This window comes from Homo sapiens, chromosome 12, assembly GCF_000001405.40.
Source record: "Homo sapiens chromosome 12, GRCh38.p14 Primary Assembly".
Lineage (NCBI taxonomy): Eukaryota > Metazoa > Chordata > Mammalia > Primates > Hominidae > Homo > Homo sapiens.
Genome location: NC_000012.12, coordinates 80,443,543 through 80,457,843, shown reverse-complemented (window position 1 = coordinate 80,457,843; position 14,301 = coordinate 80,443,543). Strand labels below are relative to the sequence as shown.

The window sequence follows — 14,301 nt, the reverse complement described above, 5'->3', positions numbered from 1 at the left end:
TTACTGTTCTTATAATCAGAAAGAATAATATATATTTTAAGGAATAAATTAGCTATCCGAAAGAACTCTAAAACTAATTAAGTGGCCATGCTACTGAGAATTATATGTATTTTAGTGTCAGTTTTTATTTATGTTCTTTATTATTTTAAACGACAAACTCATGACTAAGTCAATTTAAAATAAATGACAGGAAAATTACCACTTTCTGCAGTTTGGAAGAGAAATGGATCACTAAACACTCCAATGCCAGCACTGTTTTCAGCAGCAACCTAGAACAGACCAAAAGGATTGTGTTCAAACATTTTACTCCCTGAAAAAAGAGAATCTAAAATTTAAAACAAAACTTTGACTTATCCATAAGATAAATGCCAAAGATACTTTTTTAATACTCTCAAGGAAGAAGGCAAATATGAAGATATCTATACAATCAACAAATAAAGTATTATTGTCAAAATTGTATAGATGAGAAAACTGGCTGAGAGAGGTCAAATACCTTTGCCCAAGGTCACACAGGAATAAATGGTAGAGCAAGAATCCAGTTGCAGTTGGGTTTATTTTGAAAGCTCAGTCTTTCTCTGATATATCCACTACATAAAAGACATTACAATTATTTCTGTAACAAATGCAAGAGACCATGTATATGGTACCTTAATTTAGAGTTCACAATCTAATCAGGCAAACAAATACTCAAAAAACTGTTTTAAAAAAATAAATTAGATAAGTACATTTAATTAATAATTTAAACTAAGAATTCCAGAATTTTAAAGATAAAAAAATTTGATTTGAATAATATCTTCCAATAGACTAGAATAGAAAAAGAAAATGTCATTAATGAGAATAAGACTCAAGCTTTTGCAAATGCCATGACTGGAATCATAACCTTGGCTTAACTGTAGTTCTACCAATTCCCAGATAGTAGCTTTGAGCAATTTACTTAACTGTTGTAAGTAACATTTATCTTGTCTTTAAAATGGGAATAATAATGTATCTATGTTATAGGATTGTGCTGAGGACTAAATGAAATAGCACATGTAAAATACTTAACAGGATTTTTCCTATAACATTACTTACACTGAAGACATCAAATGTATCATGCCAAATACCCTTTGGAATTCTGCAATGGCTAACATTTATTTGAACAGAGTAAAGGTCACAAGAATGATTTATAAAGTGTGAGATGAAACGGAGAGTAAGGGCTTCCCAATAGACCTTAAATAAGAGAATTCACAGGAATAAAAATTCAAGCTCCATAAAAATAGATCTAAGCAGAACTAGGTTGACTAAATCACCTTCCTATCAGCAATAGTTTCTTACAGCACATTAAAAATTTTTAATTATCCCCAATAGCATATATTGACATGTTAATTAATCTGAATGTGTACATATTGACAGAAAATACCTATATTATATAATACTCAGATGTCAGTTAGAAAAAGGTTGCCTATTCTTTAAGCTATGTTTTCTTCATGAAATAGTCATCACAAATCTTTTATTTTGACTTCTACATAGGTAAGAATTTTTTTTCTTTTCTCATTGTAAGACTCACACTATTAGTATTTGCTTTCCAGTTCTGATCGTGTTCTTTAATTCTGCAAATAGGCACACTTCCAGTAAGAAAAAACTTCCTGGCAAAAATCTCTTCCAATATTTCTTATCCTCTAGGAAGAACATCTCATTTATATAAAATCACATATTTACACAGGTTTTATATATTTTCTTCTCTCTATTTAATTATTTTCAAGGTTCAAAGAAGATATTGATGTTATATTGAGGGAGGATCCAGAAGATATCTTTACCCTTTATTATCCCTTGGAAATGTCATACTTATCCCTTAACTGGAAGCATTTTCCTGTGGCCTAATTTAGCACTGCTTTTTATAAGCTCATCTTTCTGTAGTATTCAAATGAGATGATGTTAAATTTTACATATTAACTATGTAAAGGACGGCTGGGCGCGGTGGCTCACACCTGTAATCCCAGCACTTTGGAAGGCAGAAGTGGGCGAATCACGAGGTCAGGAGTTCGAGACCAGTCTGACCAACATAGTGAAACCCGTCTCTGCTAAAAAAAAATAAAATACGAAAAAATTAGCCGGGCATGGTGGCGGGCGCCTCTAGTCCCAGCTATTTGGGAGGCTGAGGCAGGAGAATGGCGTGAACCTGGGAGGCGGAGCTTGCAGTGAGCCGAGATCGGGCCACTGCACTCCAGCCTGGGCGACAGAGCGAGAGTCCATCTCAAAAAAAAAAAAAACAACTATGTAAAGGACGAGACTTTTTTATAAATGCAAAAGAAATAGTAAATGTTCAAGAAATATTTGTTGAAAGTAATTACATTGAGTTCACGATTCTTAGCAAAAGTGGCACTTTAGAAATGTTCAAACCAATATCCAAAATGTCAACAGACATGTAAAAACAAGAAGATTTGGAAGAAAAATGAAAAGCTAACTATAAGTTTTATTTTAAAATGAAATATTTTCAGTTATAAGGGCTAAATTATTTAATTTAAACTTGATTTATTTTTGAAAACGTCACTAAGCTAAAGTTTTTTTAAATAATTAACCAAAGTTATCAATTTCATAAAGTATAAACGATACTCTATAAAGACACTTTATAAAGTACAATGTGCAAAGAGCAAAAGCTATCTGTTTTTTTGTTTGTTTGTTTTGTTTTGTTTGGCGGCGTTTTGTTCTTGTTGTCCAGGCTGGAGTGCAATGGCATGATCTCAGCTCACTGCAACCTCTGCCTCCCGGGTTCAAGTGACTCTCCTGCCTCAACCCCCAGAGTAGCTGGGATTACAGGCACTCGCCACCATGCCCAGCTAATTTCTTGTATTTTGAGTAGAGATGGGATTTCGCCATATTGGCCAGGCTGGTCTTGAACTCCTCAGGTGATCCGCCCGCCTCGGCCTCCCAAAGTGCTGGGATTACAGGCATGAGGCACTGCACCCAGCCGAAGCTATCTGTTTTTAAAAGCTTTAGCTTAGTGACTTTTTTGGAAAATAAATTAAGTTTGAATTAAATAATTTCGCCTTTATAAGTTTTTTAAGTAAAAATATTCTACTTTTTTATTAAACTTAAAGTTTTTTTTTCAATATTTTTCTCCCAGCCCTGTTAGCCATATGATCGTCTCAACAGATGCAGGAAAAGCATTTAATAAAATCCAATATCCCTTCATGATAAAAACCCTCAACAAAGTAGGCATCAAAGGAACATATGTCAAAATAATAAGAGCTATATATGACAAACCACAGCCAACATAATCCTAAACGGAGAAAAGTTTAAAGGATTATCCCTAAGAAATGCAACAAAAGTAGGATGTCTACTCTCACCAATCCTATTGAACACAGTACTGGAAGGCCTAGCCAGAGCGATCAAGCAAGAGAAAGAAATAAAAGGCATCCATTTCTGCATTTCCATCTGAGGTACCGGGTTCATCTCACTAGGGAGTGCCAGACAGTGGGTGCAGGACAGTGGGTGCAGCGCACCGTGCGTGAGCCGAAGCAGGGCGAGGCATTGCCTCACTCGGGAAGTGCAAGGGGTCAGGGAGTTCCCTTTCCTAGTCAAAGAAAGGGGTGACAGATGGCACCTGGAAAATCCAGTCACTCCCACCCGAATACTGCGCTTTTCCGACGGGCTTAAAAAACGGCACACCAGGAGATTATATCCTGCACATGGCTCAGGGGGTCTTACCCCCACGGAGTCTGCCTGATTGCTAGCACAGCAGTCTGAGATCAAACTGCAAGGTGGCAGCGAGGCTGGGTGAGGGGCACCCGCCATTGCCCAGGCTTGCTTAGGTAAACAAAGCAACCTGGAAGCTCCAACTGGGTGGAGCCCACCACAGCTCCAGGAGGCCTGCCTGCCTCTGTAGGCTCCACCTCTGGGGGCAGGGCACAGACAAACAAAAAGACAGCAGTAACCTCTGCAGACTTAAATGTCCCTGTCTGACAGCTTTGAAGAGAGCAGTGGTTCTCCCAGCACACAGCTGGAGATCTGAGAACGGGCAGACTGCCTCCTCAAGTGGGTCCCTGACCCCTGACCGCCGAGCAGCCTAACTGGGAGGCACCCCCCAGTAGAGGCAGACTGACACCTCACAAGGCCGGGTACTCCTCTGAGACAAAACTTCCAGAGGAATGATCAGACAGCAGCATTTGCGGTTCACGAAAATCCACTGTTCTGCAGCCACCGCTGCTGGTACCCAGGCTAACAGGGTCTGGAGTAGACCTCTAGCAAACTCCAACAGACCTGCAGCGGAGGGTCCTGTCTGTTAGGAGGAAAACTAACAAACAGAAAGGACATCCACACCAAAAACCCATCTGTACATCACCATCATCAAAGACCAAAAGTAGATAAAACCACAAAGATGGGGAAAAAACAGAGCAGAAAAACTGGAAACTCTAAAAAGCAGAGCAGCTCTCCTCCTCCAAAGGAACGCAGTTCCTCACCAGCAACAGAACAAAGCTGGACAGAGAATGACTTTCACGAGTTGAGAGAAGAAGGCTTCGGACGATCAAACTACTCCGAGCTACAGGAGGAAATTCAAACCAAAGGCAAAGAAGTTGAAAACTATGAAAAAAATGTAGACGAATGTATAACTAGAATAACGAATATAGAGAAGTGCTTAAAGGAGCTGATGGAGCTGAAAGCCAAGGCTCGAAAACTACGTGAAGAATGCAGAAGCCTCAGGAGCCGATGCGATCAACTGGAAGAAAGGGTATCAGTGATGGAAGATGAAATGAATGAAATGAAGTGAGAAGGGAAGTTTAGAGAAAAAAGAATAAAAAGAAATGAACAAAGCCTCCAAGAAATACGGGACTATGTGAAAAGACCAAATCTACGTATGATTGGTATACCTGAAAGTGATGGGGAGAATGAAACCAAGTTGGAAAACACTGTGCAGGATATTATCCAGGAGAACTTCCCCAATCCAGCAAGGCAGGTCAACATTCACATTCAGGAAATACAGAGAACGCTACAAAGATACTCCTCGAGAAGAGCGACTCCAAGACACATAATTGTCATATTCACCAAAGTTGAAATGAAGGAAAAAATGTTAAGGGCAGCCAGAGAGAAAGGTCGGGTTACCCACAAAGGGAAGCCTATTAGACTAACAGCGGATCTCTCAGTAGAAACTCTAGAAGCCAGAAGAGAGTGGGGGCCAATATTCAACATTCTTAAAGAAAAGAATTTGCAACCCAGAATTTCATATCCAGCCAAACTAAGCTTCATAAGTGAAGGAGAAATAAAAACCATTATAGACAAACAAATGCTGAGAGATTTTGTCACCACCAGGCCTGCCCTAAAAGAGCTCCTGAAGGAAGCACTAAACATGGAAAAGAACAACCGGTACCAGCCACTGAAAAATCATGCCAAATTGTAAAGACCATCAAGGCTAGGAAGAAACTGCATCAACTAACGAGCAAAATAAACCAGCTAACATCATAATGACAGGATCAAATTCACACATAACAATATTGACTTTAAATGTAAATGGACTAAATGCTCCAATTAAAAGACACAGACTGGCAAATTGGATAAAGAGTCAAGACCCATCAGTGTGCTGTATTCAGGAAACCCATCTCACATGCAGAGACACACATAGGCTCAAAATAAAAGGATGGAGGAAGATCTACCAAGCAAATGGAAAACAAACAAAGGCAGGGGTTGCAATCCTAGTCTCTGATAAAACAGACTTTAAACCAACAAAGATCAAAAGAGACAAAGAAGGCCATTACATAATGGTAAAGGGATCAATTCAACAAGAAGAGCTAACTATCCTAAATATATATGCACCCAATACAGGAGCACCCAGATTCATAAAGCAAGTCCTGAGTGACCTACAAAGAGACTTAGACTCCCATACAATAATAATGGGAGACTTTAACACCCCACTGTCAACATTAGACAGAAAGTTAACAAGGATACCCAGGAATTGAACTCAGCTTTGCACCAAGCGGACCTAATAGACATCTACGGAATTCTCCACCCCAAATCAACAGAATATACATTTTTTCAGCACCACACCACACCTATTCCAAAATTGACCACATAGTTGGAAGTAAAGCTCTCCTCAGCAAATGTAAAAGAACAGAAATTATAACAAACTGTCTCTGAGACCACAGTGCAATCAAACTAGAACTCAGGATTAAGAAACTCACTGAAAACCGCTCAACTACATGGAAACTGAACAACGGCTCCCGAATGACTACTGGGTACCTAACAAAATGAAGGCAGAAATAAAGATGTTCTTTGAAACCAACGAGAACAAAGACACAACATACCAGTATCACTGGGACGCATTCAAAGCAGTGTGTAGAGGGCAATTTATAGCACTAAATGCCCACAAGAGAAAGCAGGAAAGATCCAAAACTGACACCCTAACATCACAATTAAAAGAACTAGAAAAGCAAGAGCAAACACATTCATAAGCTAGCAGAAGGCAAGAAATAACTAAAATCAGAGCAGAACTGAAGGACATAGAGACACAAAAAACCCTTCAAAAAATTAATGAATCCAGGAGCTGGTTTTTTGAAAGGATCAACAAAATTGACAGACCGCTAGCAAGACTAATAAAGAAGAAAAGAGAGAAGAATCAAATAGATGCAATAAAAAATGATAAAGGGGATATTACCACTGATCCCACAGAAATACAAACTACCATCAGAGAATACTACAAACACCTCTATGCAAATAAACTAGAAAATCTAGAAGGAATGGATAAATTCCTCGACACATACACCCTCCCAAGACTAAACCAGGAAGAAGTTGACTCTCTGAATAGACCACTAACAGGCTCTGAAATTGTGGCAATAAGCGATAGCTTGCCAACGAAAAAGAGTCCAGGACCAGACGGATTCACAGCCGAATTCTACCAGAGGTACAAGGAGGAACTGGTACTATTCCTTCTGAAACTATTCCAATCAATAGAAAAAGAGGGAATCCTCCCTAACTCATTTTATGAGGCCAGCATCATCCTGATACCAAAGCCAGGCAGAGACACAACCAAAAAAGAGAATTTTAGACCAATATCCTTGATGAACATCGATGCAAAAATCCTCAGTAAAATACTGGCAAATGGAATCCAGCAGCACACCAAAAAGCTTATCCACAATGATCAAGTGGGCTTCATCCCTGGGATGCAAGGCTGGTTCAATATACACAAATCAATAAATGTAATCTAGCACATAAACAAAATCAAAGACAAAAACCGCATGATTATCTCAATAGATGCAGAAAAGGCCTTTGACAAAATTCAACAATGCTTCATGCTAAAAACTCTCAATAAATTAGGTATTGATGGGACGTATCTCAAAATAATAAGAGCTATCTATGACAAACCCACAGCCAATATCATACTGAATGGGCAAAAACCAGAAGCATTCCCTTTGAAAACTGGCACAAGACAGGGATGCCCTCTCTCACCACTCCTATTCAACATAGTGTTGGAAGTTCTGCCCAGGGCAATTAGCCAGGAGAAGGAAATAAAGGGTATTCAATTAGGAAAAGAGGAAGTCAAATTGTCCCTGTTTGAAGATGACATGATTGTATATCTAGAAAACCCCATCGTCTCAGCCCAAAATCTCCTTAAGCTGATAGGCAACTTCAGCAAAGTCTCAGGATACAAAATCAATGTACAAAAATCACAGGCATTCTTATACACCAATAACAGACAAACAGAGAGCCAAATCATGAGTGAACTCCCATTCACAATTGATTCAAAGAGAATAAAATACCTAGGAATCCACCTTACAAGGGACGTGAAGGACCTCTTCAAGGAGAACTACAAACCACTGCTCAATGAAATATAAAAGAGGATACAAACAAAAGAAGAACATTCCATGCTCATGGGTAGGAAGAATGAATATCGTGAAAATGACCATACTGCCCAAGGTAATTTATAGATTCTATGCCATCCCCATCAAGCTACCAATGACTTTCTTCACAGAATTGGAAAAAACTACTTTAAAGTTCATATGGAACCAAAAAAGAGCCCACATCGCCAAGTCAATCCTAAGCCAAAAGAACGAAGCTGGAGGCATCACACTACCTGACTTTAAACTATACTATAAGGCTACAGTAACCAAAACAGCATGGTACTGGTACCAAAACAGAGATATAGATCAATGGAACAGAACAGAGCCCTCCGAAATCATGCCGCATATCTACAACTATCTGATCTTTGACAAACCTGAGAAAAACAAGCAATGGGGAAGGGATTCCCTATTTAATAAATGGTGCTGGGAAAACTGGCTAGCCATATGTAGAAAGCTGAAACTGGATCCCTTCCTTACACCTTATACAAAAATCAATTCAAGATGGATTAAAGACTTAAATGTTAGACCTAAAACCATAAAAACCCTAGAAGTAAACCTAGGCATTACCATTCAGGACATAGGCATGGGCAAGGACTTCACATCTAAAACACCAAAAGCAATGGCAACAAAAGACAAAATTGACAAATGGGATCTCATTAAACTAAAGAGCTTCTGCACAGCAAAAGAAACTACCATCAGAGTGAACAGGCAACCCAAAAAATGGGGGAAAATTTTCACAACCTACTCATCTGACAAAGGGCTAATATCCAGAACCTACAATGAACTCAAACAAATTTACAAGAAAAAAACAAACAACCCCATCAAAAAGTGGGTGAAGGACATGAACAGACACTTCTCAAAAGAAGACATTTATGCAGCCAAAAAACACATGAAAAAATGCTCAGTATCACTGGCCATCAGAGAAATGCAAATCAAAACCACAATGAGATACCATCTCACACCAGTTAGAATGGCAATCATTAAAAAGTCAGGAAAGAACAAGTGCTGGAGAGGATATGGAGAAATAGGAACACTTTTACACTGTTGGTGGGACTGTAAACTAGTTCAACCATTGTGGAAGTCAGTGTGGCGATTCCTCAGGGATCTAGAACTAGAAATACCATTTGACCCAGCCATCCCATTACTGGGTATATACCCAAAGGACTATAAATCATGCTGCTATAAAGACACATGCACACGTATGTTTATTGCGGCACTATTCACAATAGCAAAGACTTGGAACCAACCCAAATGTCCAACAATGATAGACTGGATTAAGAAAAAGTGGCACATATACACCATGGAATACTATGCAGCCATAAAAAATGATGAGTTCATGCCCTTTGTAGGGACATAGATGAAATTGGAAATCATCATTCTCAGTAAACTATCGCAAGAACGAAAAACCAAGTACCGCATATTCTCACTCATAGGTGGGAATTGAACAATGAGAACACATGGACACAGGAAGGGGAACATCACACTCTGGGGACTGTTGTGGGGTGGGGGGAGTGGGGAGGGATAGCATTGGGAGATATACCTAATTCTAGATGACGAGTTAGTGGGTGCAGCACACCAGCATGTCCCATGTATACATATGTAACTAACCTGCACATTGTGCACATGTACCCTAAAACTTAAAGTACAATAATTTTAAAAAGGCATCCAAATTGGAAAACAGGAAGCATACTATCTTTGTTCACTGATGACACAATTGTATATCTAGAAAACTCTAACGACAACTCAAAAATAATAATCCTAGACTTGATAAACAATTTCAATAAAGTTTTGGGATACAAATTCAGTGTACAAAAATAAGTGGAATTTCTATACACCAATAACATTCAGGCTGAGAATGAAATCAAGAATTCAATCCCATTTACGATAGCCACAAAAAAAATAAAATATCTAGGAATACATTTTACAAAGGAGGTGAAAATCTTTACAAGGAGAACTACAAGACACTCATGAAATAAATTAGAGATGACACAAACAAATGGAAAAACATTCCATGCTCTTGGATTGGAAGAATCAACATACCATACCACCCAAAGAAATCTACAGATTCAACACAATTCTTATGAAATTAGCAATGTAATTTTTCACAGAATTAGAACAGCAATCCTAAAGTTCATATGAAACCAAAAAAGAGCCCAAATAATGAAAGCAATCCTAAGCAAAAAGAACAAATCTGGAGGCATCACATTACCTGACTTCGAATTATACTACAAAGCTATAGTAACTAAAATAGCACAGTACTGATAGAAAAATACAGATATACTTTAATGGAAGAGAATAGAAAACCCAGAAATAAAGTCACATACCTACAACCAACTGATTTTTGACAAAGTTGACAAAAATAAACAATGGGGAAAGGATATTCTGTTCAATAAATGGTGCTGGGGAAACTGGCTGGCCATATCCAAGAGAATGAAACTGGATCCTTAGCTCTCAGCATATACAAAAATTAGCACATTCTGGATTAAGGACTTAAATATAAAACCTGAAACTATAAAAATACTAGTAAGAAAAACTAGGTAAAACTCTTCTGGATATTGGACTAGGCAAATAATTTATGACTGAGACATCAAAAGCAAATGCAACAAAAACTAAAATAGACTTAAATGGGACTTAGTTAAACTAAAAAGCTTCTGCACAGCAAAGGAAATAATTAACAGAGTAAACAGAAAACCTACAGAGCTGGAGAAAATATTTGCAAATTATGCTTCCAACAAGGGATGGATATCCAGAATCTACAAGGAATGAAAACAATACAAGGAGAAAAACCCCATTAAAAAGTGGACAAAAAACATAAACAGACATTTCTCAAAAGAAGACACACAAGTGGCCAGTAAGTATATAAAAAATGCTCAACATTAGGAATTATCAAAGAAATGTAAATTAAAACCACAATGAGACATCATCTTATACCAATCAGAATGGCTACTATTAAAAAGTCAAAAAAACAGATGGCAGTGTGGATGCAGAGAAAAGGGAACACTAATACACTGTTGCTAGAAATGTAACCTCTATGAGAAACAGTACGGAGATTTCTCAAAGACCTGAAAATAGATCTACCGTATTCAACCCAGCAATCTCACTGCTATGTATCTATCCAGGAAAAGAAATCATTGTATCACAAAGACACCATCACTCATGTTTATTACAGCATTATTCACAATAGCAAGGTCATGGAATCAACCTAAGTATCTATCATATGGGTAAAGAAAATGTGGTATATATACACCATGGAATACTATGCAGGCATAAAAAATAAAATCATGTTCTTTGCAGCAACATGGATGGAGCTGGAGAACATATCCTAAGTGAAATAATTCAAAAATAGAAAATCAAATACCACACATTCTCACTTACAAGTGGGAGCTATGAGTACACATGGGCATAACAATGGAAATAATAAACACGGGATTTCAAAAATGGGGAGGGTAGGAGAGGGTGAGGATTGAAAAATTACCTATTGGGTACAATGTTTACTATTTGGGTGATGGGTATACTAGAAGCCCAAACCCCACCATTACACAATATACCCACGTAACAAACCTGCACACATGTCCCCTGAATCAAAAATAATTTAAAAAAAAGACATTTCATTGGAGTCTAAATTTTATATACAGAACAAGGCCATGTTCTTAGACCACAATATCTCAAAACCTGGCAAAATTATTTTTACTAAGTATACTTTTATTATTTTACTGTTATGGAAAGAAGTTTACAAAATCCAGTCCTGCAGCTATTAATCCTTCAACGAAGACTTTCTTTCCAGTCTAAAGCACCAAAAAAAAAAAAAACTTGAGCTCCCATATGCAATTATTATACAATTTTCATACGTAAATTGTATAACAGATTTATTGCCCTTTTTACTGTGGTTTCTAGGAATTTGGAGAATAAAGTTTGCAAGTCAATTTTTAATAACTGTGTAACATCCTGTGGTTTACATACCTGCATTCAAACTACCCTGGCCTCTTGTTTGCATTTAAGTTTTCCTTCTTTAACTTTACATAATTTTTATTTCCTAGAGTATTGTATTATATTCATACATGTATATAAATATATGCAAAAATATTCATAGAAAAAATGAAATAGGTAATATATAAATATGCATAAAATTGAAATGAAAAGACACAATAACATTTTACCAAGTTTTAAAATCTCAGGTGGGTGTGAGGCCATGACTGTGAACGTTGTCAGTCACTGACTGTATTCAGCTGTAAAGGCTTGACAAGGTGAGAAAAACCTCCCACACTTTTAAAATGAATGAAATGTTTGAACACTAAGTAGTCATACACAAAATAATTACCTTAATTTCATATGTTGTTCCAGGATTAAGATTAGTAAGAAGAACTTCCAGACTGTCTGGCTTTGATCTGACTTGTGTATATACTGTTTGCATCCACGGACAAACTTCCTTATATTTGACAATGTAAGATATAATCCTTCCATTTGGATTAGGTGGTGTATTCCAAGACAGAAGAATCCCAGCAGATCCGACTCTTTCCCCGGCTAGGAAGACTGGAGGCCCTGGTTCTATTTTTAAAAAATCCATTTTGTTAAAAGGTCAAATAATTATTGCATTTTCACAAAAATACATAATAACAGTATTTATAAATGTAAAATTTGAAATTTCCAAAGAGCAATATGAGTTCACACTCCCTACAGCTCTGTTACTATTAAAAAAATACTATGTGGAATACCAAAAGCATTCCTTTATAAGAATGTGAAAAATGGAATGCTACTAAATAAATACTACATGCCGAATATACTTTTGTTGCCAAATCATTTTTAAAAGAAATTCACTTACGCAAGGCTTACACAGAAAAACTAAGAAAACAAGAAATAATCTTACAAATGGAATAATCCTTCCTGAGCAAATGTAGCCAGTTCATTTTCATGGTTCTGTATTATTTAAATGTTAGCATTAACAGTCTCTCTGATCTATTTCACAAACAAGTATAGAGTAATTATCTTTGCACTTTGAAAGTAAAGGAAGCTGAAGAAACAGCAGAATGCAGGTTCTAAGCAGATCACTTTCTTGTTTCCATTTTGCCTTATTCTACACTGTTTTCATGAATTTAATGTACATGTTGCCAGTATAAGTATTTCCATCCAGTAGAATTATACTGACTCCAAATACTTTACTTACAAAGTAATTTAAAACATATACTCACTTGTTACATTTGTTGTCACTATTCTAGTAACAGGTGAGGTGTATGTTGTAGAAATTGAAGAGATGGTTATATCGTACCTAGTACCAGGAACGACATTGGAAACATCAACCTAGAACACCACAAACAAATAGTTGCATTAAAATTCTTTCTGGAAAGCAAGCAAGCTAAAATAAATCTATCACTATAACAAAAATTAACTCTTCACTATATAACTCTGCACTGTTTATAACATCACAATAAGTTCCATATTATTGTAAGATACAAATATGTTATATAACTTTTTACCAAATGACTTTAAAATAAAAACTTACAAAACGTACTGCGTTATCACAGCCTAAGTCAGCATTTCTATCTATCCTAGTTCACTGTCACAAGGAACAACTATTCAAGTCTTGAGAAATCTACAGCCCATGACTTAGCCCTTGTTTTTAAAGAGTGTATACGAAATACCTGTGTCTCTGAAGTCCCAATAAAAAGTAAAAGAAAAATGATAAGAAAATCCATCTTTATTACATTTTTCAGCCAGTAGAATCACATTGATGGCTCTAGAGAGAAATGTTGCCTGCATTAATGATTTAAAGACAGATCCTTCTGGCAAGTACACAATTAATGAGCCCATATTACTCAATAGCTCTGCCTTTTCTTTGTTAAACTATTCATGAACCCTTGGATGACTGGCTGTAGGTTCAGGGTGAACTTAAAAAAAAAAAAAAAAAAAAAAAGCAGCATAGATGTTGCTAAGGTAACAGTCCACCAATGCTGAAACTTAACACTCATCAGTTTGACATCAACGTTTTTGTCTTCAACTTATGCTTTCAAAAACCCAACAAGGAGTAAGTTTTTGTGGTAGATGGGTTTCATAAAATAAAGAACTTTCCTATTAGGAGCAAAATATAAATACAAGTAGGCTCGGCAAGTACAATAATGAAAACTATACCTGATATTCTCCACCTCCAAGATCTCTGATAGTAACAAAGCCACTGTCAGGAACAAGATCCACTTGATACCTTTCCACATGACCAGAGGGTAGGCTCCAGTGCAGAGAAAAGGAATGTGTGGAAATATTGAAGGCTCTAAGTTTCTCAGGTTGTTCTGGTTCTGATATTGAAAAATAGAGGTTTAAAATAAAGTTATTCTCCTAAAGTTTCAAAAAAATGAAAACAAATAGTATAGGTTCAAGTTCCAAAATAATCATGTTGTTAGAAATCACTGAGTACAATAAATGATCTCTAAGTATACTTGGGTGTTAAACATGTAAATATTTAACAACACCTAGGTTTTAGGTATAACTATCATAAATAATATAA

The 14,301-nt window shown here is 36.8% G+C and overlaps 1 protein-coding gene across 1 annotated transcript in view; it reads right to left on the bottom strand.

The window, feature by feature from the left end:
* Nucleotides 1-13,609, bottom strand: part of PTPRQ (protein tyrosine phosphatase receptor type Q) — a 236,039-nt gene extending 222,430 nt beyond the window's left edge. Inside the window, exons 1-4 of the mRNA NM_001145026.2 lie at nt 13,445-13,609; nt 12,995-13,103; nt 12,127-12,353; nt 200-269 (exon numbers count right to left, since the gene is read on the bottom strand). Of these exons, the coding sequence (NP_001138498.1) occupies nt 200-269; nt 12,127-12,353; nt 12,995-13,103; nt 13,445-13,498 (460 nt within the window). The 5' untranslated portion in view covers nt 13,499-13,609. The remainder of the gene's footprint in view (nt 1-199; nt 270-12,126; nt 12,354-12,994; nt 13,104-13,444) is intronic.